Source organism: Homo sapiens, chromosome 10 (genome assembly GCF_000001405.40).
Source record: "Homo sapiens chromosome 10, GRCh38.p14 Primary Assembly".
Classification (NCBI taxonomy): domain Eukaryota; kingdom Metazoa; phylum Chordata; class Mammalia; order Primates; family Hominidae; genus Homo; species Homo sapiens.
Window position 1 is genome coordinate 17,186,655 of NC_000010.11, and position 27,584 is coordinate 17,214,238.

The 27,584-nt window shown below is 38.3% G+C and overlaps 1 protein-coding gene across 16 annotated transcripts in view, besides 1 other annotated feature; it reads right to left on the reverse strand.

Annotated features, from left to right (window-relative positions):
• Positions 1-15,018, reverse strand: part of TRDMT1 (tRNA aspartic acid methyltransferase 1) — a 64,337-nt gene extending 49,319 nt beyond the window's left edge. For all 16 annotated transcript variants that reach the window (NM_001321006.2, NM_001351221.2, XM_047424697.1 and 13 more), the window contains exon 1: positions 14,917-15,018. Coding sequence is in view for 12 of the 16 variants with exons in the window: in NM_001351221.2 (NP_001338150.1) it covers positions 14,917-14,980 (64 nt within the window). In the remaining 4 variants the exon portion in view is untranslated. The remainder of the gene's footprint in view (positions 1-14,916) is intronic.
• Positions 14,656-14,715: a silencer, noted in NCBI's record as "silent region_2181". NCBI's record gives its function as "represses an Ori minimal core promoter by ATAC-STARR-seq in GM12878 lymphoblastoid cells {active_cell/tissue: GM12878}" and the evidence as "EXISTENCE:reporter gene assay evidence [ECO:0000049][PMID:35858748]".
• Positions 15,019-27,584: the final 12,566 nt, after the last annotated feature.

Below are 27,584 nucleotides of genomic sequence, written 5' to 3' on the forward strand. Positions count from 1 at the left end.
TGTTTGTTACAACAGCAATAGGAAACTCATACATAGATAATAATTAGAGATGTAAAGAAAATATTTATATATAGGATAAGTGATGCTATTTTATTTATAATAGTGCAAATTTATGAATGATCTGAATGTCCCAGAATAGATGATTAATTCGAACAAATACTGTACTTTCATAAAGTGGAGTATGATACAACCATTAAAAGTTTATAAATTCTACATTTAATGGCAAGCGAAAATATTCAAGATATTCTAAGTAAAGAAAGAAAGCTATAATTTATTTTAATGTTCATGGTCACATTAGAATAAAGATTTTAATCTAAGCCTTCACCAGTGTTTATGTCTTCACCAGTGTTATGTCAGTGTTTATGCATTAGCATCATTGGTGAGTTTTTTAAATTTTCTTCTCTATTTGTGTAGCATTGGTATTGCCCAGTAGAGCAAAATCTCTGGAAAAAGGAACATGACTGTCTCGTTCAATGCTGTATCCTCACCATACAACACAGTAAGCAACAAAGAAAAATCACTCCATAGTTATGTACTGAATAAATGAATATTTTCAGTGTGTCCCAATTTTTTAACAAATGTATTACTAATATTGCTAAAAATAAAAAACAAGAAATGCACATAATAATAATTTTTAAATATTCAACTTCACTAGTAATCAAAAATTAAGATAACAATTTCACCTAGTAAATTATATGGGTTAACATATTATATTGGCATATTTATGGTCACAGAGACGTTACTGAATATAAACTAGTATGTCCTTTTAAAAAAATAATTTGACAATCATCAACAACCTTTAAAATGTTCATGTACTATAGCTTATTCATTAATTCTACAAATATTTGTTGAGCATCCAACATACAATGGTGCTTTTAGATCCAAGGATACAGTGGTGAACAAAATAGAACAAAATGCAACAAAAAAATCCCACCCTCAAGGAGCTTACATTCTAGAAGAGGAGGCAGTCAATTTTAAAGATAAACAAGTACAATACAAAATATGATAGGCAGTAATAAGTGTTAAAGTGAAAAACAAAACAGGCCAGAGGATAGGGAGGCAGGGCAGAGGATACAAGTTTTGGTACTGAGAACAGTTCACTGTGCATCTTTCCTGACCTTTTTCTGTGTCTAAACACAAATACATTACACACATACCCACTGTATGTGCCCAAACATAAGACAACTAGAATAAACGTTAATCCCCTATTTTCCCCATGAAAATATCCAAAATTAGATTTCTGGCCATTTTCATTATATAAATGTTTAAGGATGTAGCCAAAATAGTCAAATGACTTCATATTGTATAATTTATAATTTAAACATACTTTATTTTTTATATTCAGTTTAATTACTATTTTTACATTAAAATTAAGTTCTACATTAGTAAACTTAATTTTACTAATGTTTTACATTAGTAAAACAAACTCTGTTTTTTGAACTTTTTTTTAACTGGCATGAAGAATTACAGCTCTTAGGTGTTAACATGGGAAGGGAAAAGGGTATTTATCCCATTTAACAGGTCTGGCTAGCTTGTATTCAATAAATATGTGCTTGAAGAAGCCATCTGAGGTAATCTTTAGGATCTGTTATGAATTTATAAAGATATAATTCCAGGTAATATCTTTAAAAAATAGAGAAAGGATTTATCCCCTGACTACTGAACGGGACAATGCTTATGAAAACCTTTTACCAACCCTGTCAAGTGTTTATTCATGCTCTGCAAAATATTTTCAGCAAGTATTTCCTGTGAGTTTATAACCAGGTTCATTTATGAATTCAAGACATATTTATTGAGCATGACTGACGCTGGCGCTGGCTCTGGCTCCAGGCAGAGATGATAAAACAACGAATCCCTGCTCCCACAGAGCTTCACACAAGGAGAAGCCTCCAACATATTTTATACAGCACTATCTTAGCATGTTCATTTGGAAATATTGTATATTTTCTACTCAAAGTTCATGAAATGATTTTATTCTACTTTCTCATGTGCCTCTTTGAAATCAGGGTCACTATCATCAACAGAGCCACCTTTTAAATCATCTAACAGTGTTCAAGGACACACCAACTTTCCTTCAGTCAGAGTTACTTGAGAACTAGCCCTTTTTGAGTTCGTGTATAATGATGTCACTGGAAATTTTATGCCCACCACAAATACCCAGTAGCTATTTGTGATTTCCGCGAAGTAATCACCTACTGTATTGCTTTATAAAGTAATTTTCAAAAGGCTTGTTTACAATAACATCCAACACTTGTAATTGTGAGGTCATCCTCCTAAAAATTACTTCTAGATCTTTAAATTCATTTCTATGGTTTCTGGCCAATTCCATTGAGTGACCTCAATAAGCATCTAGAAATGATATTAAGTTTCTTCAGGCTAATGTAGTTTATCCAAGCAGTACTTTATTGATTTGCTATTTTTGAAAAGTTTAGTAATTGAGTAATATGAAGAGATTTCCTTTCAGAAGACTAAATTATAAGGCCATACTCTCTTTCTGAAGTATAATTTTTCAGGTAAAATGAATATCTCATATAGAAGAATTTATGCCAAACATGTCTATAAGAGTGTATGTATATATATTTGTATTTTGTTTTTGTTCTTAGTTAAAATACTGGGATCACAAGCGTTTTGAATTTACAGTCATGAAGGAAATGCAAAAGATGATGTCTTCATAGCGAAAAACCCTTGGATTTTAAATATAGTGCCTTTGCCATATATGGATATGCAAAGCCATAAAAAATTTAGAAAAATGGTAGATTCACAGCTTTTTCTTCAAACCATGGTACCAACATTCTGACAGTTCAAAATTAATGAAAAGAAATCTCACTGGATGGAGAACAAGCTAGAGATTAAGTCACAATCAACAAAGAACATCATTTAATCTGAATATTCAAATAATATAGTTTTAACAATTATCTCAGCAAACAATAACACAAAAATAAATTGAGAACACAAGAAAAACATCCATTCTGAAGAAGCAGAGAAATTATTCTGGTACTTTATTACCATCTAAACCTTAGCGATCTATTAAAGTTTAGCATAGTTTTAAAAATTCTAGTTAATTTAAAATCATATGCTAACATATGATTTCAATTTAACTAGAATTTTTAAACTACAAATCCTTTGAATTATAGGTTCTTTTTGAACCAAAATTCAACTCTAATGAAGGCATCTGCCAAAGTCTATGGGGTCCTGTTTGTGCTAAAAGACTCTGGCATTTGTTTCTTGAGTCTCATTCATTGAGTACTAGAGGGTAATTAACTTCATTATTGAGTTTGAACAAAAATCAGTAATGGATGCACAAGAACTATTTAATATTAATGTTCAGCTCTCTAATAGAGCTGTTTTACTTTACACAAAGGGGTTTGGCTAGGTTTGTGTTGATTTAAAGTCTCAGAATGAAAATAATTAGTGGATATAAGTAAAAGAAACCATTGGTCCAGGCGAAGTAACGGTAATTTTTAAAATTCCAACATACACTTTACCTAGTCGCTAAAAATGAGATATAATTTTACGCTTTTAGACAAGAGGAGAGCTGGTTGGCACTATTCCTGGGTAGCACTTTTCACCAATATTTCTGATAATGTTCCATGGGAAAGCAAAAGGCAACAGAGATTCTAAAAAGGTTCCAGACACCAAACTGTACATGTAACCTTGACCTTATTTATCATTATGATAATAATCACCGTGTAATTATGTGTAGATTTGCTCTCATACATCAACTTCTTTTCAACTTTGAAAAATAAAGAGTTCATATTTCTTGACAGGAATAAAAGAGCAAAAAAAAAAAAAAACCACTTAAACTTAATTATTTTGGCCATAGCTCACTGTTAGCATATGATTTAAATTTTACAGTGAGTAAAGACCAATTTATTCTCAAAAGCCCTGATTATTTTGACAATATTTAAAATGTTTTAAATAAAAAGAACAAAAATGTTTTATCATGTATTACAGAAAAATATTTGTTATCTATTAAAATCTCACACACAACCATGCCTACAAAAACTCTTCATGATTCAGACTTAATACTTAAGTTTAAACTTATCACAGAAGGATGATATCTACATCAAGCTGCAGATATTTCACAGCAAGCATGCCTATAGTTCATTTTTTCATTTGTTCATTCACGCATTCAACAAGTATATAAAAGGATTATTCCAGACAAAGCCTATCCTATCATGGAGCCTACATTCTAGAGGAGAGAGACAGACAATAAACAAACAAGTTTAAATTATGCCTAACAATAAAAAGTACTATGGAGAAAACTAAAAACCAGAGCAAGACAGCATGGGAGAAGGGAGTGGTTCTAGTTTTATGTAGGTCGGTTACAGAATGTCTCTTTAGCAGCAACCTGGAAGAGATGAGGGGATGGGCCTGACAGATATCAGGGAGAAGCACTTTCTAGGACAGAGAGAAGAGACACAGCAAAGGCCCAGAGATGGGAACATGCTGGTTTTGTAGGAAGAACAACCAGGAGGCCAGGGAGCCTGGAGTAGAGTGAGCAAGGGGACAGCCACAGGAGATGTGGCCCCAGAGAGAAAGTGTCTCTAGCCCAAGCAGGCCTGGGGACCCATTCAGGACTCTGGTTTCTGAGTGGTCGGAGAAGCTCCTCAGGAGTTTTAATCACAGTAATAACTTATCAGATATATTTTTTAAAGATCACTCTGGCCACTCTACTGAAAACAAACTTGCAATGCCAGAGCAGAAGCAAGATCAGTAAAGAGGCTACTGCAATAATGCTTTGTCCAGGGTCCCAGAAAAGTAGCTCAGGCCAAGCTTAGCTGCAGATGCTTTATCTGGAAGGAAAACTCCGAAGCGGCAAGAGTTAGGGCAGTGAGGCAGAGAAGGAGGGAGTGCATTAGCACGTCGGTCAATGCTTCCCAGAAACCCAGCCAACTGCTCTGGCAATGAGGGATTTGGTAGAGCCAGGCTGGATGGGATGACCACACCTCAGAGCTGTCAGGGGAGGGCTGTATCTGCTGTGGGAGATGATGAGATGCCCTGCAGTAGAGACGCTACTGGGTCTGAAATAGCACTTCCCATCTTCTCACTGGCATTTGAGCAAGGAGCACCATTGCGGGAGGAGGGAGAGAGTGTATCTTCTGGCTCCTTTCTCATCCTGTCTGTTATTGGTCAAAAGTCCCCCCAAAGCGTGACTCCCCACCTCCCTGCTACCTACACACACAAGTCAGGTTTTGTGATCTGACTCCTCAAGACAGCTACTGAGCAGACAGAGTGCATGCCCACAGCCTGACACTTCACCTGAGTCCAGGTACAGGGGTCGACAATCATTCTGAGGGTCAAGCTCGGCCATCACCCCCTGACAGTGTCAGATGAGGCAAGGTGGCATTAGTCAGGGTGTGACACTGAACCAGCAGCCCCAGGCCAGGAGGCAGGTGGGGCCAAGCAAATCCGGGCAGCGCAAAAATTAAGTCTGACAAGACAGGAGAGAGATTATAGATCAGGTGGTAAAGGTGAAAATGGAGAGAAATGATAGAGTTATAAATATAGTCTGAAGGTAAAGCCTGTAGAACTGGCTGATGTGGGTGAAAAAGAAGAAACAAGATGACTCCAAGGCTCAGGTGTGGGCAACTAGAAGAACAAAGCCACCTGTTATTGGGGTGAGGCAGGTTACAAGAGTGGCAAGTTTTGGAAGGGATCAGAGACCAGTAGTTCAGCTTTGGGCATTCTAGGAGAAAACAGAGATAGTAAGAATGACAATACCTGCCTAATAGAAATATTACAGAGAAGCTTATTTCAAAGTTCGTCCAAATTATGAACATAGTTGGCTAATATGTATAGCCCTGGCGCATCTTTTCTTTCACAACCCCAGCATCTCCCTCAGCTCCATCACTGCCCTTTTGTTGCCCATCAGACATTTCCGGAAACACGCACTAAGGAGCACTGTTTTCACAATGTAGGTGTGCTCTCCTTCCCCGCAAAACAAAAGGGTGGGCGAGGGGCAGGAGCAGCAGGGTCCTTGCCCAAATATAAATACATATGGGAAGCACTGTTTTAAGCCAAACAGCTTCTTTACTTCTCAAAACCTGATACATTTCACGTGTCTTGAGAAGGTCTCAAGGAAAGATGTTGTGTGGAGAGTTTCTAAACGTATTTGAACATCAAGGTACACTGAATAAACAAAATCCATATGATCCTCTCAAAAGATGTGGAAAAAGCTTTCAATAAAATCCAACATTTCCTCATGATAAAAACCCCTCAAGAAAGTAGGCATCAAAGGAACATACCTCAAAATAATAAGAGCATCTATGACAAGCCCACAGCCAACATCATACTGAGTGGGCAAATGATGGAAGCATTCCCCTTGCGAACTGAAACAAGACAAGGATGCCCATTCTCACCACTCTATTCAACATAGTATTGGAAGTACTAGCCAGAGCAATCCCTCAACAGAAAGAAATAAAGGAGCCAGGCACAGTGGCTCACACCTGTAATCCCAGCACTTTGGGAGGTTGGGGTGGGCTGATCACCTGAGGTCAGGAGTTCGAGACCAGCCTGGCCAACATGGTGAAACCCCGTCTCTACTAAAAATACAAAATTAGCCAGGCATGGTGGCGCATGCCTGTAGTCCCAGCTACCCAGGAGGCTGAGGCAGGAGAATCGCTGGAACCCAGGAGGCAGAGGTTGCAGTGAGCCAAGATTAAGCCACTGCACTCCACCCTGGGTGACAGAGTGAGAAGACGTCAAACGATCTCTCTTTGCAGATGATATTATTTTATACCTAGAATACTCTAAAGTCTCCACCAAAAGTCTACTGGAACTAATAAATGACTTCATCAAAGCTTCAGGATACTAAATTAATGTGCAAAAATTAGAAGCATTTCTATACACAAATAATGTTCAAACTGAGAGTCAAATCAAGAATGTGATCTTCTTTATAACAGCCACAAAAAACATATAAAAATACCTAGGAATACATCTAACCAAGGAGGTGAAAGATCTCTGCAAGGAGAATGACAAAATACTGCTAAGAGACATCATACAGGTGACAAACAAATGGAAAAACATCCCATGCTTATGGATTCAAAAAATCAATGTTGTTAAAATGGTAGTACTGCCTGAAGCAATCTACAGATTCAGTGCTATTCCTGTCAAACTACTAGCATCATTTTTTCATAAAATTGGAACAAACTATTCTAAAACTCATATGGAACCATATAAAAGCCTGAATAGCCAAAGCAATCCTAAGCAAAAAGAACAAGGCCAGAGGTATCACATTAATGGACTTCAAACTATACTATAAGACTACGGTAACCAAGACAGCATGGTACTGGTACAAAACAGACATATCAGACAAACGAAACAGAATAGATAACCCAGAAATAAAGGCACACACCTACAGTCATCTGATCTTCAACAAAGTAGACAAAAAAAATGGGGAAAGGACTCACTATTTAATAAACGGTGCTAGGATAGCTGGCTAGCCATATGCAGGAGAATGAAACTAGACCCCTACCTTTCACCATATACAAAAATTAACTCAAGATGGATTAAAGACTTGAACGTAAGACCTCAAACAATAAGAATTCTAGAAGAAAACCTAGGAAACACCACTCTGGACATTGGCCTTGGAAAAGAATTTATGACTAAGTCTTCATAAACGATTGCAACAAAAACAAAAATTGACAAGTGGGACCTAATTAAACTACAGACCTTCGGCACAGCTAAAGAAACTATCAACAGAGTAAACAGACAACTCACAGAATGGGAGAAAATATTTGCAAACTATGCATCTGGGAAAGGTCTAGTATCCAGAATCTAAAAGAAACTTAAACAACTGAACAAGCAAAAAACAAACAACCCCACTTAAAAACTAGGCAAAGGACATGAACAGATACTTCTCAAAAGAAGTGGCCCATCAACAAAATGAAAAAAAATAGTCATCATCACTAATCTTCAAGAAATGCAAATCAAAACCACAATAGGACAGCATCTCAAACCAGTCACAATGGCTACGATTAAAAAGTCAATAAAAAGCTAGGCGTGATGGCTCATGCCTGTAATCCCAGCACTTTGGGAGAACGAGGCAGGTGGATTGCTTGGGATCAGGAGTTCCAGACCAGCCTGGTCAACATGGTGAAACCCTGTCTCTACTAAAAATACAAAAATTAGCCAAGCGTGGTCGTGGGCACCTGTAATCACAGCTACTAGGGAGGCTCAGGCAGGAGAATAGCTTGAACCCGGGAGGCAGAGGTTGCAGTGAGCCAAGATTGCACCACTGCACTCCAGCCTGTGCAACAAAGCAAGAATCCGACTCAAAAAAAAAAAAAAGTCAAAAAAAAAAAAAAACGCAGATGCTGGCAAGGCTGCGGAGAAAAGGGAACCCTTATGCACTGTTGATGGGAATGTAAATAAATTCAGCCATGGTGGAAAGCAGCTTGGAAATTTCTCAAAGAACTTAAAACAAAACTACCATTCAACCTCGCAAGCTCATTACTGAGTATACATGCAAAAGAAAGCAAAATCATTCTACCAAAAAGACACATATACTTGCATGTTCATCACAGCACTAGTCACAATAGCAAAGACGTGCCCATCAATGGCGGACTGAATTAAGAAAATGTGGTATATATACACCATTGGAATACTACGCAGCCATAAAAAAGAACAAAATCATATCCTTTGTAGCAACATGGATGCATCTGGAGGCCATTATCCTTAGTGAATTAACACAGAAACAGAAAACCAAATACCTCATGTTCTCACTAATAAGTGGGAGTTAAACATTGGATACTCATGGACAAAAAGATGGCAACAATAGACACCGGGGACTACTAGAGAGAGAAGGGGGGCAGCAAAGGTTAAAAAACTAACTGTGGGTACTATGCTCAGTGCCTGGGTGGTGGGATCATTGATACCTCACATCTGAGCATCACACAATATACCTAAGTAACAAACTTGCACATGTACCCCTTGAATCTAGAAGCTGAAAAAAAAAAAATTTACCCCTAACCCCAAAAAATACTTTGCAGTGAAGTAAGCACACATTATTCCTCACAAGAAAAGATAAGTAATTCAATTGTCTAATGGGAAGTTAAAGTTCTCTTTTACTGAATACTCAAAATTCATCTTACGTATTTCTTTTTTGTATTTCAAGTTTATTAACTTCCACAGCTGCCAGAGAAGAAATGATAAATTTATTTTAATAGGACAACTTTTTACGTTGCTTCACTTTAAATATGACTTGCTATATAAGAGTAACTAGAAGGAAAGAGGCATGAAAAGGAAAATTTTATAATCCCAAAGACAGGTATGTATAACTGAAAAAAAAATTAAGCGGTTCATAGGCCAGCCCCTAACAACTGATGCTATAAAAATATCCTTAGGTGACATTCATATCTACATACAAATACACTTCATCGTAATGTAGTTGCCTGATTCAGTTACAAACACACCCAGTTACAAGCTGGTCTAGTAGACTCCCAAGTTGGCATGTAAGTCGTTGAGGAACAAAGACAAAAGAGATTCAGAAAATGAATAATTAATACGTGACAAATGAGATGCTTAGCATTTTAAAAGAAAATATTAAGGCTGAGTAATTCTTACTAAACACAATGAAGTATTATGGGGTAAAACTCAAAGCCAACTCCTTGGAAGAGCTTTAGAAGCTATTTGGCAGACAGGCCTTTTTGCTTTTAAGGCTGACTCCAATATTTGACTATATAGAAAACAGTCATCCAGCTAGAGCTTTCCTTTATTCACCACCTTAAACCACACTTTACTCTTCTCCTGATACTACATTTTAAAATGAGAAAAATACAGAATCTTATTTGCATATATTTGCAGGTGACCTTGCAGGCTCCACTGATATATAACCTGTGACACTACTTCTTCCACTGCTTTCTGAAAGAAGATATTTTCACTTGGAAGATTCTCATTAGCCAAAACTTTGTAGACTGTGCAGACATAAATATCAAAGTACACATAAGTAGTTTCTGTATAGGTCAAATATGTATTTAAAAATGTAATAGACATTGTTATACTGTGGCCATCTAGAATCTTTGCCTATGTTTCCTGTGTTTGAAAATTTGCCACAGTATGGATCCTTCCTTCCCCAAATAGAAGCCAGAACTCACCTTCTCAGCTTCCCTTGTCTGGCCGTGGTATCTAGTGTCTACCAACCACCTGCATCCACATGATAAGACCTCAGTTTAGAGTTAGCAGTGTGAGGAGAGACTTCAATTCAGAGGTAGCAATGGAAGAACTTAAACAAACGAGGAAACCCATCTTTCTGGCAAGGGAGGTGGTAAGAGGCATCCACCTCTCAAGGGAAAACTGCGACAGCACTTCTGGCTTCCAGAACCCAGCACTGTTGGTGTAAGCTGTGATGTCGGGATAAAGCTTCACTGTGGCCATACCCACACTATAGTGTGGGCAGTGCTCCTGTTCACCTAACCTGTTTGTTGGGTGTCCTGGAGATTCTGTGAGTTTCCAAATGTTTTTAATTTTTTTTTTCCTGATTATGTTAGCTAGAGTGGATTCTGTGGGTTGCAACTAAGAACTACATATAATACAAAAAAAGAATCTGGGCTAAATAAACCTTCATCATTTGATAAAACGATAGCAGAAGGATTATCAATTCAATAGTAACCTCAATAGTAAGCTAGAAAGAGTGTGGTACTGTGCTAGAGGCTGTACAGGAACAGAAAGGAACAGCAAAGAATGTTACATTTAAGCCATGTAAATACATGGGAAAATAGATATAAATAAAGTTAAATGAAATTTAGAAAATACAGAAGCATCTATGTAGTGACTGTAAAAATGCAACAGCATACTGGATATGCTGATAAGGATGAAAAACTTTTATTGACATATTTTTTAAATGTTCACTGGGTTTGAGGCAAATCTATCATGTTGCTAAAGAAATTAAATATACTTTTTATAACTGAAAATTCAGTAATGTGGGGAAAAATATTTGCAAATCATATATCCAATAAGACATTAAGATCCAGAATATATAAAGCCTACAACTCAATAACAAAAAGAAAATTCCAAAATGGGCAAAGGCCTTGAACAGACACTTCTCTGTATTGAAGAAAACAAATGACTAACAGGCACATGAAAAGACCCTCAACAACCCGGCACAGTGGCTCACACCTGTAATCCCAACACTTTGGGAGGCCAAGGTGGGTGGATCACCTGAGGTCAGGAGTTCGAGACCAGCCTGGCCAACATGGTGAAACCCCATCTCTACTAAAAATACAAAAAATTAGCCAGGCATGGTGGCAGGGACTTGTAATCCCAGCTGCTCGGGAGGCTGAGGCAGGAAGATCGCTTGAACCCGGGAGACGGAGGTTGCAGTGAACTGAGATCGCGCCACTGCACTCCAGCCTGGGCAAGAAGAGCGAAACTCCATCTCAAAAAAAAAAAGAAAGAAAAAGAAAAGATGCTCAACATCTTTAGTTATTAAGAAAATGCAAATCAAAACCACAATAGGATATGATTTCATATCCATCAGAATGGCTATTATTTTTAAAAAATGGAATAACAAGTGGAGAATATGGAGGTAGAGGAAACGGAGTGCTCATGCAATGGAAAATTGTGCCGCTGCTGCGGAAAACAGGCTGGTGGTTCCTCAAGAGTTACACAGTATTATCATATGATCCAGCAATTCCACTGCTAGGTCTATACCCCAAAACTTAAAAGTAAGGACTCAAACAATACTTATATACCAATATCCAAAGCAGCACTACTCACAATGGTCAGCAGGTAATTGATACAACTCAAGTGTCTATCAACAGATGAATGGATACACAAAATTGTACAGCTATACAATGGAATATTATTCAACCACAAAAAGAACTGAGATATTGATACAGGCTACAAAATAAATGAACTTTGAAGACATTATTCTAAGTGAAATAAGCCAGACACAAAAGGACAAATGTATTATTCTACTTATGTGTGGTACGCAGAGTAGACAAGTTCATAAAGACAAAGCAGAATCAAGGTTACCAGGGACTGGGGGGAAAGGGAATTTGGAGTTATTGTTTAACAGGTACAGAGCTCTGTTTGAGATGATTAAAAAGTTTTAGAAATGAACAAGGGTGATGGTTGCACAACATTGTGAATGTACTTAATGCCATTGAACTATACATTTAAAAATAGTTTAAATGATACATTTCATGTTGTGTTTTACCACAATAAAAAAATTCCATTATGAACCTTATCTAGAAATCAGTCAAAAATGAAGTTCAATATTATTCCTTTTGTGCTGCTTATTATATTATTTAATGTATAGATCCAAGGAAGTTAGTAGTTCTAACCAGAACAACGGCAACATAGCATAGTTAAAAGGTCAGGTAGGTAGACCTAGGTTAAAATACCAGTTCTACCGCTAACTAGTTTATTACATACTTAAAAAAGGACCTGAATTTAAAAGATCCCTAATAAACACTAAAGTTAGCTGCTGTTATTAGTCTTTATTATTATATTAAAAACCACCTGGAAAGGAGCAATGCATTTTATTACAGGTAAATTTTAAACTTTAGTACATCAAATAAGTGAACATGGGAAGGCAAACAAGTGTGGAAAAATATTTGCATCAATATGATTAAGAGTCTATATCCCTAATATGCAGATTTCCACCGAAAAGATGAGAGAGCAGAGAGGTACAGGGAGGCAGGAAAGTTGCTTTGGATCACAGGGTCAGCCAGGGAAGGCCAATATATGAACTAAGACATGAAATGTGAACCGAAGCTAGAGTGAAAAAGTCTGGGGTTAGGGAGCACTCTGGATGAGGCAACAGCAAAAGCAAAGGCCAGAACATCGAAGAACTTCGAGGGTTTGAGGAGTAGAGAGAAAGAAAAACAGTAAGCCTCGACAAGAAAGGCTGAGGAAAGAATTCAGGGAATCGTTTAATTAGAATTTCAGCTTTGGGTGTTGACGGTGAAGCGGGATGCTGAAGGGAGAGTGGCAGATAAAATTGAAGAGAAGACAGAAGCCAGAACTCACAAGCCTGTTAAGATGGGACTGTGATTACAATCTCAAAAGCAACCATTTAAGCAACGAAGTAACATGATCTGGTTTACTGTGCAAATGATCATGCTGCCTGCTAGAAGGAAAACGGAGTAGGGAGGCAGAATGGAAGTAAGGAGAGAAGCTGGGAAGCTATGTTAATAATTTAAATTACAGAACTTAATAGCTTGGATTCACAACAGTAGAACTGGCAATAGAAAAACGTGTACAAATTCACATTGCATTGGCTAATAGGAGAGAAAATATTTTACTCTTTCATTAATCCCAAAACTGTCACTTAAAATTACACAATTTCCCCTAACAAATTAGCAAGGATTAAAAATTGATAATACATATCCCTGATGAATATGTAGTTAAGGCACTCAAAAATCTCTGAAAAGCAATTTGCTATCCTCTCTCTCAAAAGCCTTAAAAATTCTGTTTTTCACTTAGTAACTAGCACACAGTTAAGTCTTACTGTTGAATTAATTCCAACAGTTAGTAAACATGCTTAAAGAGAAAATCGGCATTATGCTCAAGAATGTAACTGTAGCACACTGTACTTGCAAAAAAACTGAAGAATGATCTAAATATTCGACACTTAAGGAATGGCTGAATTACAGCTTATGATAAAGTACTAAGCAATTCATTAAGGAGTTTCAAGATATGGGAAAACGCGGACATTATATCACTTTAGAGAATTAACAAAGAGTAAATAGTACTAGAGTTTTGCTTTGATGCTGCTAAGTTTTAAAATGAGAAATAAAGATAGCCGGCAAACAAGTACTAAAAACTTAATGATCATTAACCTAGTCTAGAATTGAAACTCAATAAATCTGCTCAAAAAACTTATACGCTAAACCCATTAAATATTGTCTGTATCTTACAGTTACTCTTGTTACTCTTGGTCCTAAATAAGGAAGCAGGGAAGTTTCAGTTCGGTGGTTGTCTTAGTAATTTAAGAATAAACATGCACCTTCAAAGCCTGTTTGTCATTCTGTATCCCCAGCTCCTAGCACAAAATCTGGCACAGAATAGGAGCTCAATAAATAATTTTGAGTGAATATCACCAAAAGTAAAACTTTCAGTTCCAACTCAGCATGAAAGAAATCAAAAACCTCAAAATCAAAGACGTGCATAAAAGTAATAGTTTGCTTGATAATATCTCGTGATGTCGTTTTAAAGTAATAGTGATAATAATGTATAATATTTGGAGTGGTTACAATGTATCAGGCACTAACAAGCACTTGACAGACTTTAATCCTTATAATAATCATTCTCTTTTAAAACCAGGAAACAGGTTCATCACTGTTCACGAAGTAGCCCAACGTCACACTGCCACCAAGCTGGAACTCAGTTCTCTGGCATCTAAACGCAGAACTACAGAAGACACGTTTCTTTCCAACGATCAGACGTCCAAGTTCTTCAAGCTTCCTCTACCATCCTATTTAGCATTCGCAAACTTCTACCTTGAATTGTAGCTATTATCCCTTCCAAGATCCATCTCTCACCAGGGGAGCCCCTGACACTCCCTCCCTCCCCAGCTGGGAAGCCCCCCAGGATGAAGGACCGAGTCTCCATGCTTCTCGGTGGCTGCACACTTAGAATGGGGGCTTGGCACCAGGCGAGGGTCTCGCCCCTTTGATACCCTTTGAGGTTGATTTACTGCCTTGCGAATCCCGACTCCCAACTGGGCCCTTTGAGGCGCCATGTGCGGCCCCTCGAGCCAGACTCGGCGCCAGGAGAAGGGAGTCAGCGTCTGGAGGGGTGGACACGGCGGCGCGCAGGAGCTGTTTCCAGGACAACCGAGGGCCGCCCCACAGTGTCCGCCCCACAGTGTCCGCCCCTTGCGTCTCGCCGCTCCGCCCCTTCCCGGCGCGGGTGCTCCAACCAGCCCCCGTGAGCGAATAGAGAGAGGGGTGCTAGATGGACTCTCACCTCTCAGCGCGTGGTGCATGCCGCCCACGCCGCTGTATAGCTCCAGCACCCGCAGGGGCTCCATCCCCGCGCCTCAGCCGCCGCAGCCCCGGAGCTAGGCCTGCCGGTCCGTCGCTCCTCCTCCCTCCATCGCGCCGCTCCCTCAGCCTCTGGTTCCGCGGCGTTTCAGTTCCCCCGTCTCCTACCGCTCCAGGCTCAGGGCTTCAGAGGGCCTCGCGGCCTGGGGATTGGCAAGGGTCTAGAGGGGAACAAAGGACGGAAAACAATAAGGCTTCCCGAATGAATGGCAGCCACTCTGTAGCCTGATTTACGCTCCATTTCCTTCTTTGGTGTCAGGGGCCTTGATTGGAAAAGAAATCCAGAGTTCAGTAAAGGGGAGAAAACTGCCTTGGTTTCCAAGTGAATTAACACTGGTTAGAAGCCAGAAAAAAATCATTTTTCAGACAAGCTGCTTTTCTGTCACTTAGAAGCCTGAACATTCAAACATTCTTTCCACAGTGTGCCTTGTTTCCTGCCTGCCCTGGGTCAATAGAGAGAAATTAGACCAGCCTCTCCCCTAGAGAAGATTCCAGAATTATAAGTAAGGACACAAGTCCACTCGCAGCAGAGAAAGCCCTGTGTGCGTGCTGATAATACAGAGGATGTTTGTTGTGTCTATTAGTGGGGTTAATTATGTTTTAGCTTGGAAATTACACCTACATAGAATACACAGTGAATATCATGTAGGATTATTTATGGGTCTTTAAGTGCTATGGCCTTGATTCCTCAGGATGATCCAGTAACCAACTGTTAGAGGCTCATGTTGACGAAAAAAGCCAAACTCCGTAAAATGTTTGAAGAGGTTTATTCTGAGCACAAGGTGAGGACCGTGACCCATGACACAACCCCACAGGGTCCTGACAACATGTACCCAAGGTGGTTGGGCTACAGCTTGGGATTATATGGTTTTAGGGAGACATAAGGACATTAACTGGTATATGGAAGGTGTACTTAGTTTGGTCCATAAAGATGGGACAACTCAAAAAGGGGAAGGATTCCAGGTTACAGGTGGATTCAAAGATTTTCTGATTGGCAGTTGGTTGAAAGAGTTAAGTTGTGACCTAAAGACCTGGAATCAATAGAAAGGAATGTGTCTGGGTTAAGATAAGGTGGAGACCAAGGTTCTTATTATGTAGACGAAGTCTCATACGTAACAGGCTTCAGAGAGAATAATTGGCAAATGTCTCTTATCATGTGTAAAAAGATGCCAGACTCTTAGTTAAATATCTCTTGGATCAGGAAAAGACCTGGAAAGGGAAAGGGAGTCTCTATAGAATGTAGATTTTCCCCACAAGAGATGGCTGTGTAGGGCCATTTCAAAAAGTGTCAAAGAAATTTATTTTAGGGTAAAATGCTTTGATTTAGGGCCTGCTATCTTTCATGTGATGCTATACTAGAGTCATGTTGGAATTTTGGTATCTTATTGCTAAGAAGAGTCTGTTATGTCGGTATGAAGATCTCTTGTTTTAATAATAATACTGGTCAGTTGTGCCTGAACTCCAAAGAGAGGAAAGTATAATGAGGCATGTCTGACTTCCCTTTCCCAGCATGGCCTGAACTAGTTTTTCAAGTTTCTTTGGAATCCGCTTGGTGGAGGTGTTCAATCAGTCAGTTGGGGGGAGCTTAGAAATTTTGTGGGGGGAGCGGTGTTTACAGTCAATTATAAATAAAAATAATGTACCCATATGGAGGATAGAAAATGTTCCCGTTGTGAAGTGTTTTTCTCTTTGTTCCCAACACTGCCACAGGTTTTTGTTAGGGGGAACTTGGGGGTACCACTTGTAATAACAATAACTGATTTGTTAGAAATGTTGCATGCCTGCTAATGTAATGCTGTTAACAAATAAAAGTATAACCACTGCATCCAAATTATAACATTCACTGGTTCCTTTTGATGTGGTCTATGAAATTAACTTTTTAAATTGTACATGTGCATTGGCCACGTGCTTTGCTTTTTGTTAGTCACTTTCAGATAAGAAGAGGTGTATGGTAGAAAGATACCAGATAACTCAGCTTTAGCCCTGGCGTTGCCAGTTAACTGATTGTGTGACTTTGAGATGACCCTGGTTTCCTCATCTGTAAGATAAAGCAGAAGGGAACAGAAAGAGATGGATTGTTGAGGGTGTTTTAGTTCCAAGAAATGAATTCATGGCTGAATTCAAATTAGAAAAAATGAGACCTGATTTGGCAACGTGTTAATTATTTATTGAATTTGAAATATGTAGAAAGAAGACTTGTTACCTGCTTTAAGCAAATGTACTCTTAAACTAACTCAGCTTACAGAAACCATGTACACACTGACATATGTATAATGCATGAAGCAAACTTTTTAAATATTTATTACATATAGTACCAGAAATAAACATCAGTACATAAAATGTAAAGGGAACTATATAGTCACAGTGATTTATATATAGCCAAAAACCAATATATTAAACAAATCTGGAATTTTCAGCATTCGTGCTATAAATCAAAATAAATGTGACAAAAGACCTTACCTGTAGGGGAGAGACAGTACAGACACATGGCAGAGTTAATGAAAAATACCAACCTCCTGAGAGGAAGGAGCCTCAAACCCCTTCCCCACACAGGCTGATTACAAACTGTTTACTCTGATACTTAAGGATCTTCACGGTATAGCCCTGAACTTACTTTTCTTCCTTAACTTTTTTCTCTTCTTGAACTCTGCTGTAAATGAAACTACTTGGTGTTCCCCAAACATGCCCTTCAGTTCACTTCTCTGCTTTTGTTCTTTCCCTTCTCTAGAAATCTCCTAGACTTCTTTAAGACCTATACTTCAAGTGGAACCTTCCTTCTAGACTCCCAGCCTAAAATATCCTGACACATTGCAACTCCTAGGTCTCCCTCATCTTCTGAAATACAGATCACCCTTGTACTTGTCATTCAATCCTTCCAGTTATTCTAGCCCAATTGTCACCTCATATGTGCCACATCTTTATGTATTATTTCCTCTCTGAGGCTTATCTCGTGATAATTATTTCAAGAATGAAAACTCTCTCCATAATCATAATTTACAACTATCTCCATGGAAGCATCTGTAGATATTAGGCCCCCTGGGATTATGTATGCAAATGTCTTCCAATCACTGGCACAAATTACATGATTTGGTGGAAGAGTGGGAGGGCTGGTGGAGGTGGTACAATAGGGAGTAGCTGAGGAGAAAAGTGAGGTGAGCAGAATGAAAGTAAATATTGATTACTTTTTCCGAAAGCAAATCCCGAAGGCTCATAAGAGAGAAGAAAAACTCTCTAGTCCCATAATTTCCCATAAAGTCATCCTCAATGATATGTACAATACTATTTATATTTTAATTAGAGAAACTAGACATACTTTTAAAAAAGCAAGCAAATATCAAAACTGGAATGTTAGTATATTTACTACATTTTCTCTAAAAGCAGAAAATGCGTTTCTTTAAAAAAAAAACACATTAATTAACACCTGGAAAATAAAGGCACATATAAAGCATATCAGAAATAATTAAGGGGCACATCACAATACTAAGGACCATAGTAAAAGAGTAATAGCACACACTCAATTATTGAAGGCACTGGGCTTGGAATCTAATGACATTTTTATCTTCTACCCTTATGTGTTCTTTCACTGATCATTAATATCTAATTAAATGAAATAAAGTTTTCCAAGTGCTGAAAATGCTTTTTCAATCATCTTTGAATTTCCGTGATCCAGGCCACTCTCTTTCTCAGCAAAACATGATGTGGATTCCTATACAGGCTCGCTTACAGTCTGAGGACACCCTGCTTATGCCAATTTCAGTCATGAATAAGTTGCATTCTGGCTTTATACCAAAAAAGAAGGTCTTTATGAATTGAATGGAAAAAGAAAAAGTCATATGAGAAGAAACTGACTATAAGAAATGTCCTCAAGAGAGTAAATTTTACAAATTTGAATTGGAAAGACCAACAGAGCTCATTTACCACTTCTGAGCTCCCACTTATTTGAGAATGCCTTCTACTATTTTCCTGATCCATGGGCAATAAGCCTCAGCTTGCAAACTGCTAATGAAATGTTTCATGGTGAACAGCTGGAATTATTAGAAAATTCTTCCTTATAGTCTCCTAAATTCCAGTTTCTTTTAGATTTGCCCTCTGCACTGATTTTAAAGAATTATTCCTCTTCTGGCTGGGCACTGTGGCTCATGCCTGTAATCCCAGCACTTTGGGAGGCAGAGGCGGGTGGATTACCTGAGGTCAGGAGTTCAAGACTAGCTTGGCCAACATGGCGAAACCCATCTCTACTACAAATACAAAAATTAGTCGGTTGGGGGCTGGGTGAGGTGGCTCACACCTGTAATCCCAGCATTTGGGAGGCAGAGGCGGGTGGATCACCTGATGTCAGGAGTTCGAGACCAGCCTGACCAACATGGTGAAACCCCGTCTCTACTAAAAATACAAAAATTAGTGGCTCATGGTGGTGCATGCCTGTAATCCCTGCTCCTCGGGAGGCTGAGGCAGGAGAATCACTGAACCTGGGAGGCAGAGGTTGCAGTGAGCCAAAATTGTGCCATTGCACTCCAGCCTGGTCGACAAGAGTGAAACTCCATCTCAAAAAAATATATATATATTTTTTCTCTTCTATAATGATTTGCTTTGTGGTTAAGAATGCAAGCTTCAGAGCCACAGTGTAGACAGGAAGCACACGTCTGCTGCTGCTTCTCCCTAGCTAGGTGACGTGGAGAAAGTCACTACATCCTTTTTTGAGCCAAAGTGCACCTCTAAAATGTATAAATAATAGGACATGCAGTTGCTATGAAGATTAAAAGCCCTTAGCCCGGTGCCTAGCACAATACAAATAAATGTATGTTAAATAAAGAGTGCCTGTGCAATGACATCCTCTAAGTGATGCATTCTCAGTCCTGTCGGCTATGAACTATCACTTGGCATGATTCAGATCCCTCGCATTAGTCACAGTCCAGCTTGGTGATACCCATTTTAGGAGCCAACACTGCATGAAACAAACTGAACATAGATCAGCATATGGTAGAGCGAACCAGATGGCTACAGACATTCAAGGGCTCTAGGGCAGCTTTAGGCCCTGTAGGAAGTGTTCAGGGTTCCTCGGCTTAGACCATCGTGGAGTAAAGACTGAAAGTCTGGAAGCTACCTCAGCCCTGACCGAGTAGGTGCTGAGCATGGAAATAAAGAAGTCAGACAATAGACAGCAGAATTCATAGTAAAATAGATACCGCTTAACTCTTAACTTCCAGAAGAACCAGGATTGCTGTGAAGGCCAGAGCTACAGCTCTGACAATCTTCGGGGAAAATTTTTTCAGTGACCTTAACCAGGATGCATGAACTGGGGAGATCTGGGGTGCAGAGGAGGGGAACCTATCTTATAGCAGCTAGTCATGTGTTGACTCTTTCATACGCTAGGCACTGAGGAGATTTGCAATTAAAAAAATTTAAAAAGCAGCCGGAGTGGTGGATCTTGCCTGTAATCCCAGCACTTTGGGAGGCCTGGATGACAGAGCGAGACTCTGTCTCAAAACACAAACAAGCAAGCAAGCAAACAAACAAAAAACTTACAAAGTGCAAAACTTTATAATCTATTTCAGGCCATAAAAGTGCCAATAGTAAAAAATGCAATTGAATACTTTCATTTCCTAAGCATAGGGGATTTTTTCTAATTTAATTGATTCTCACTATCCAATAGGATAACCAGTAGCCACATTTGGTAAATTAAGTTTAAATTAATTTAATTAACATTAAAATTGGATTAATTATACTAGGCATATACCAAGCGCTCCGTATTGCTCAGCACAGATGTAGAATATTTCCATCATCACAGAAAGTTCTATCGGGCAGAGCTGCTATGCAGTGATGGTCCCTTTTAGTTACAGCCTTTATTAATAGCCCATCAATAAATGACCAGTGTTGGAATGTGTGCATCAATTATTGCATACTGAGCACCAATTTTAAATAAATGTCCCCCAAAATATGGGGCAAAATGAACTCAAATTAAAGCAAACCTTACAGCTAAACATTCTTTCTCTTTCTCTATCATCCAGTCACCTTACTGATAAACTGTCATGGAGGAAAAGAAACAGGAACAGCAGATGTGTTCTGTCAGTGGATGTGATAAACTTTCAAGAGAAAAAGAACAGATGGAAAATGAACTTCATGATGTCTTTAAGGAGTAGTACTTTTTTTTTTTTTTTTTTTTGAGACAGAGTCTCACTCTGTCACCCAGGCTGGGGTGCAATGGTGCAATTTCAGCTCACTGCAAGCTCCACCTTCCAGGTTCAAGTGATTCTCCTGCCTCAGCCTCCCAAGTAGCTGGGATTACAAGTGTGCACCACCACACCCAGCTTTTATATTTTTAGCAGAGACGGGGTTTCGCCACGTTGGCCAGGCTGGTCTCGAACTCCTGACCTCAAGTGATCCACTCACCATGGCCCCCCAAAAGCCTGGGTTACAGGCATGAGCCACCGTGCCCAGCCAGAAGTAGTACTTTTCTGTTATAAAGTATATTCTAGTGACTTCTGACTGTGAATAATGTTATCTTACACTTATCTCAGAAGGAATAAAAAGAAAACATGTTTTTAAAAATTAGGATCATGAATCATGAATAAAGTTAATTATACATTTTCTGCCAAATAAAATAGAAACCATGCCGTTTGCCTCATACTTTACCATTTCAAACTACTCATAGATTTTTAACATGGATTTTGCTCTTGGAGGCTCATTCTGAAATTCTCAATTTAAAAATATTTTGCAGCAAATTTAAAAGATGATGTTTCAAAGTAAATATAGTGGGATCCATTCTTTAAAACTGCTTTCTTAACTTCACAGAAAATTAGAACTAGAAAGTATCTTAAGGACTATTTGATACACTGTTTTTTAAACTATTTTTAGAGATAAAGCCTTTTGTTCAAACCAAATCTCCTCTGGAATGGGGAGCAAAGATAGAGAGGTAGAGCAACAGCTACACTGTAACTTAGTATAAAAGATACTAAGTAGACTCAGTTGGTCCTGCCTGCTGCCCCTCTACACCCAGGCAAGGCCAGGGATCTAAACCAAAGCAATCATAGGAGCCACAATATGTCACTTCCTGAGAGCAGGCTGACCTGAGGACTGAGGGGAACTTCAGAGATCTATGAAGCAAACTTGATCTGATATGGTAATGCATGCTATAAAAGCCAGACAAAAATGTTAACATAGCTGCACAAAATAGAGACTATCTCAGAAACTAATGTTTAACATTGATAACAGATCCCCTGCCCAATCACTCCTGCAAAGACAGCTTGATACAGGACAAAGAATATGGTCCTTAGAACTAGATGGATTACCATGGATCCTGCCTCAAATACTCCCTTTCTTCACATATTAAACGGGAAATATTTGATAACAAGGTAACTGTGTGTGTATATATATATCATGTGTAAATAATTGTACACATATCAATTATATATGTGTACATATCAATATATACATATATCATTTATATGTGTACATACCTATATATACAATGTGTGTATATAGACAATGTATATATGTACATTTCAATATAAACACAATGTATATAAGTGTGTATATATGTATATATATCAGTATATACATATGTACACACACACACTGATAGATATATATCAATAATGTGCCTAGAACAATAAATACTGGTTTCCTTTCACTTTCTGAACAACTTTGTCATAATATAGAACCCATTTCTTCTAACAATAGGGAGAATTATTTTCCTAGTATGTTTTCATAAAGGGTATACTACCAAGAGATTAATTTGCATATTGCCTAACAAGATGTCTTTCTGTATTGTTTTCTATTATAGCCTTCAATCTTTTCAGGTGGAAAAACACGACCCATGTTGAGAATATAGGAGACAGAATTTAGTACCTTGGAGAGCTGTTAGTACTTTGCTCCTTTTCTCTTGTAATTTATCTGAACATTTAGAACTGCTCAAGGTAACCAAAGAACACAAATCAGACCTACTCACACCAGGAAAGGGAAAACACACATACACATACACACATACACAGGCACACACTCCTTCATAGTCTTTTTTCTGCATTGCTACATCATCAGAACTGATAAACTAAAACCCAGAAAAAATTCAAAGACAAAGACTTTTAATTTTACCCTACTTAGGTACTAGTTTAGGTAGACAACAGTATCACTTAGAATTGTTCTCATATGATCCAATAATGACAAATATAACTAAAATGTAATAACACTTTCATAGTACTGCCATGACTGTATCTATTCACTCTGTAAGAAAAAAACTTCCTATTATTTAAAATTATTAAAACGTTTCTTGTCAGTTTCAAGTCACTTACGTGAGCATATTACAACATACAAGCACATTTCATTTTTCAAACTTTCTCCTCTAGCCTCATGCTCTAGAGGCTGTCAACCTTTACTTTACAGAGTTAAACTTATTCCTGCAGATCAAGACTAAAATGTTTTATTTCCATCTAAGGTAATTACTGCTAAGTTAAAATGTATAAATCCTCCAATGGGATTGGTACTATGTTTAGTCACTCAGAGAATACTGGCTGATGAAAATAGACCACATTCCAAAAGACAGAAAAAGTATGTTTGACTAATAGGAAAATAATAATAACACAATAATGACTTGTATGTTTCAAATAACTTTATAAATGTTTAAAATGCTTATTAACCCATTTTAGACCTATCGGCTTTTCTTTCTTAATATTCACTTTTTTACAAATAAAAAGTAGAAAACTTCATGTCATTTGCTCAAAGTCACATAAGTTAACATTCTGCAGGTTAACAGATTTATTTGCAAATCACACAAACATATTTTTAAAAGAAGGGAATTTAGACGATAACACTAGTTTTTTGAGGAAAAAATAGGCTGGAACTCATCAAATAAAAATGAAAGGGAGTTAGTATATATTTGAGGAAGGATTTCATATTAGGAGTTAGACAGGATTCTGGTTAGGAAAGAATGTCAGGAATCTGCATGTCTTTTTTTTTTTTTCTCCTTTCATTTTAGGACCAAATCCTAGAATAGAGTGAAAAAAGAATGCAACAAACAGCATTATTTATATATCTTTGCACAGTTTTAAAATCAAAAAGCAGTTTTATCGTGTTACTTGTTCCCTCGAGAGATGAGGCATTATTATTTGGAAAATAAATTTTTGATTATCACCTAAAGTGAAAGGGACTTAATAAACAAACATTGGAAAAGCCCAAAGTACTGAAAGCTCAATATAACTGCAAGAGTCTCTCTTCTGACCATTTTTTCTCTTTTTTGCTAATAGTAAAATAGGCATGCAGTTGTGCGACCTCAGCTCACTGCAACCTCCACCTCCTGGATTCAAGTGATTCTCCTGCCTCAGCCTCCTGAGTAGGCTGGGACTATAGGCATGCACCACCACACCTGGCTAATTTTTGTATTTTTGGTAGAGACGGGTTTCATCATGTTGGCCAGACTGGCCTTAAACTCGTGACCTTAACTGTTCTGCCTTTCTTGGCCTCCCAAAATGCTGGGATTACAGGTGTCAGCCACCGTGCCTGACCATAGCTAACATTTTGAGGTTTCTCCCCCATAGTCTTTGAACTAATTGTATTTTACCCAAATCAGAATCTTATTGCATATGTTTTATACCTAGCTCTTTTTCACCTAATATGTTATCATTATCAGTTCTGTACTTCATTAAACACATCAAAGATATATACCCTTTTTAAATGCTGACTTTATTTTTCTGAATTTTAAAAATAATACATGCTAATTTCCAGGGGTAAAACAAATTACAAAAGTATACAAAAATTAAAGGCACTTCCTTCTGTTAACCTTGATTCCATCCTCCCCCTTAAAAAAAATTTTAAGTTTGTTGAATGTCTTTTAATAAAGATGTTTATTTCCAAAACTATGATGAGGCAGTCGCAGACATTTTTGACATGAGCTCAGAGTTGTACGCATATGTTTATGTGGAGTTTTCATATTTAAAAATATTTATGCCTGAAGTGCAAAAAATAATAATTTAAAGAAAATACATAATACATTTTGTTTAATTTGTCTTAAGACTGATGTATTTTATATACATGGGAATCTGGAATCATCTTACAACTGAGAAAAGTTAGCAGTTAACTTCCTCTGAACGTTACATTTTAAACACATTTTAGCTCCCAAAACAATATGTCAGGCCTCAGATACGCACTCTTTCAAAATTCTGCCTATGAGGAAAATACTAAATATGAACATTTCAAAAATAATTCACCTTTAAAGCTCTATTTTGTGATTAGACTGAGTACCTTGAAAGTCATTATTACAACCCTTGCGTGTGTAAAGCATCTTCTCCTCAGCAGCCTCACCTCCTACACGATGATGGTCTGTAAAGTCAGGGCATCCACAAAGTGATTTATTCCCCCTTTTACCTTTAATATGGCGCTATAGACCACATTTTGGCCATTGCAGTGCAGTAGCTCAGGTCTACAATCCCAGTGTTTTGGGAAACCAGAACAGCAGGATCCCTTGAGGCCAGAAGTTAAAGACCAGCCTTTAAACAAAACAAAACAAAACAAAACAAAACAAAAAAATTTCATTAGCCAGGTGTGGGGGTGTGTGCCTGTAGTCCCAGGTACTCAGGAGGCTGAGGCAGGAGGATCACTTGAGCCAAGGAGTTTGAGGCTGCAGTGAGCTATCATTGTACCACTGCACTCCAGCCTGGGTGACTAGTGAGACCTGTCTCTCAAAAAGAAAAAGGAAAAAAAAAATGAGTATATTTTGCCTAAGGTACCCAAACACTAGAAACATATTCCAAAGTGAAATATAGCAGTATAATGCAAGTTTTCCAAAGGAAGGGGGGCAGAAATAGTTACATAATTCTTACAACCATATACTTATGTTGAAGGTATAAAAGAGTTGAAGATTCTTGAAGACAAAGAGAAGGTCTTTGGAGAAAGTTATCAGCATGCTATAGAGGCTGTCTGCTTCTCACCTCAAGCCTGAGACAAGGAGATTCAGAGAACCACCGAGAGAGTTTAAAATGTAACCATCTAACCTTTGAGTTTGGGGAGGCAAAGTAATTCCCTTGGATAGATCTGAGCCATACAAGACAGAAAGCTGTCTTAAGCCCTGTTCAAGGGGTCACTCACAAGAAAAAAAGGTGTCATGCAAAAAGGAACAAGGGGTATACCACTGAATGACTCCTAGGGGCTGTGGCAGCAGTCACAGAGAAGCAGGACACAAGGGCATGTCTGCATGCCAGGGAAGCTTTGAGAAAGAGAAAGAGAGGGAGAGACAGAGAGAGAGAGAGAGAGAGAGAGAAAGAGAGAGAGAGAGAAGAAAACCCCAAAGAAGCACCTGCTAGAAAAAGGGCCAGCTTTGAGCATATGCCAAACCTTGAGGTGTAAACACCAGATCACCAATAGCCCTTGTCAAGTAAGAGTTTTCTTATCTCCTGCACCTCTTTCCCTCTGTGAGCTCTAATCCTGCAGTGGCAAGAAACCTTAGTTAGCAAAATGAGGGAAGAGGAAGGGAGGCACCTAAGTAGGGAGAGTGAGAAACCCAGGACTTCCCTTTCCTAAGGCACAGTCAAGCCATGGGAGGGAGGATATTAACTCTTGGGCAAGATTGAAATTTTGAAAGTTACATACATGTAAGCGTTGTAAATTACTATGATCACTTTTCTCCTTAGAAGTGATCAAAGAATGGTTTGGTTTTAATAAATGACTGGAAAAGTCACAGGAGCTGCACAAATTTTCATTTGTAAAATGATCGTTTATCAACTGCTCTCTTGTCTTCTTATTCCTTCCTGCCCTTGGTTTTTGGACACAGGTTCTTTTTTCTCCTCTTTATGCCATAGTTTAATAATATCATCACCAACCATCAACACTTATTGAGGATTTACTCTAGGCCAGACAATCGATTATGTATTTTATATACATTTCTCATTTCATGCACATACAACTGTTATTATCACCTCCATTTTTTATATCAAGAAAATGAGGCTCTTCCAAGGTAGCATAATTACTAAGCATAGGAGCTGAGAAATTTACCTTGGGGACTCTGACTCCAGAGTCCCACTTTTTTTCCCTGAAAGAATGAATGAAATGTATTTTCTCAGTTCAAAGGACACAAAGTATCAAATTTGCCTTTTTTTTTAAACAAACTCTGTCTTCCAGACCGGAGTGCAGTGGCATGATCATAGCTTACTGCTCACTGCAGCCTAGTCCTCCAGGGCTTAAGTGATCCTCCCACCTCAGCCTCCTGAGTGACTGGTACTACAGGCATGCAACACCATGCCCAGCTAATTTTTAAAAATTTTTCATAGAGATAGGTTTTTGCTATGTTGCCCAGGCTGGTCTTGAATTCCTGAGCTCAGGTGATCCTCCCACTTCAGCATCTTGAAGTGCTAAAATTATAGGCATGAGCCACCAGACTTGCTTTCTTTAATAAAACAGAGCTCTCAAAAAAATGGATCTCCCCCATCTCATGAGAAAATTGAAACATTCCACTGAAGGAGAATTAACAGAAAAGTAAACATAGCTACTTTTTGTAATCAGAAAACTTGCTGATGTATACTCTTATTCCAAACCCCTGGATGATGTCATTATGTCAACAGTCCTTTAGGATTCCTCAACCCAGACATAAAATAACAGTCAGAGCAC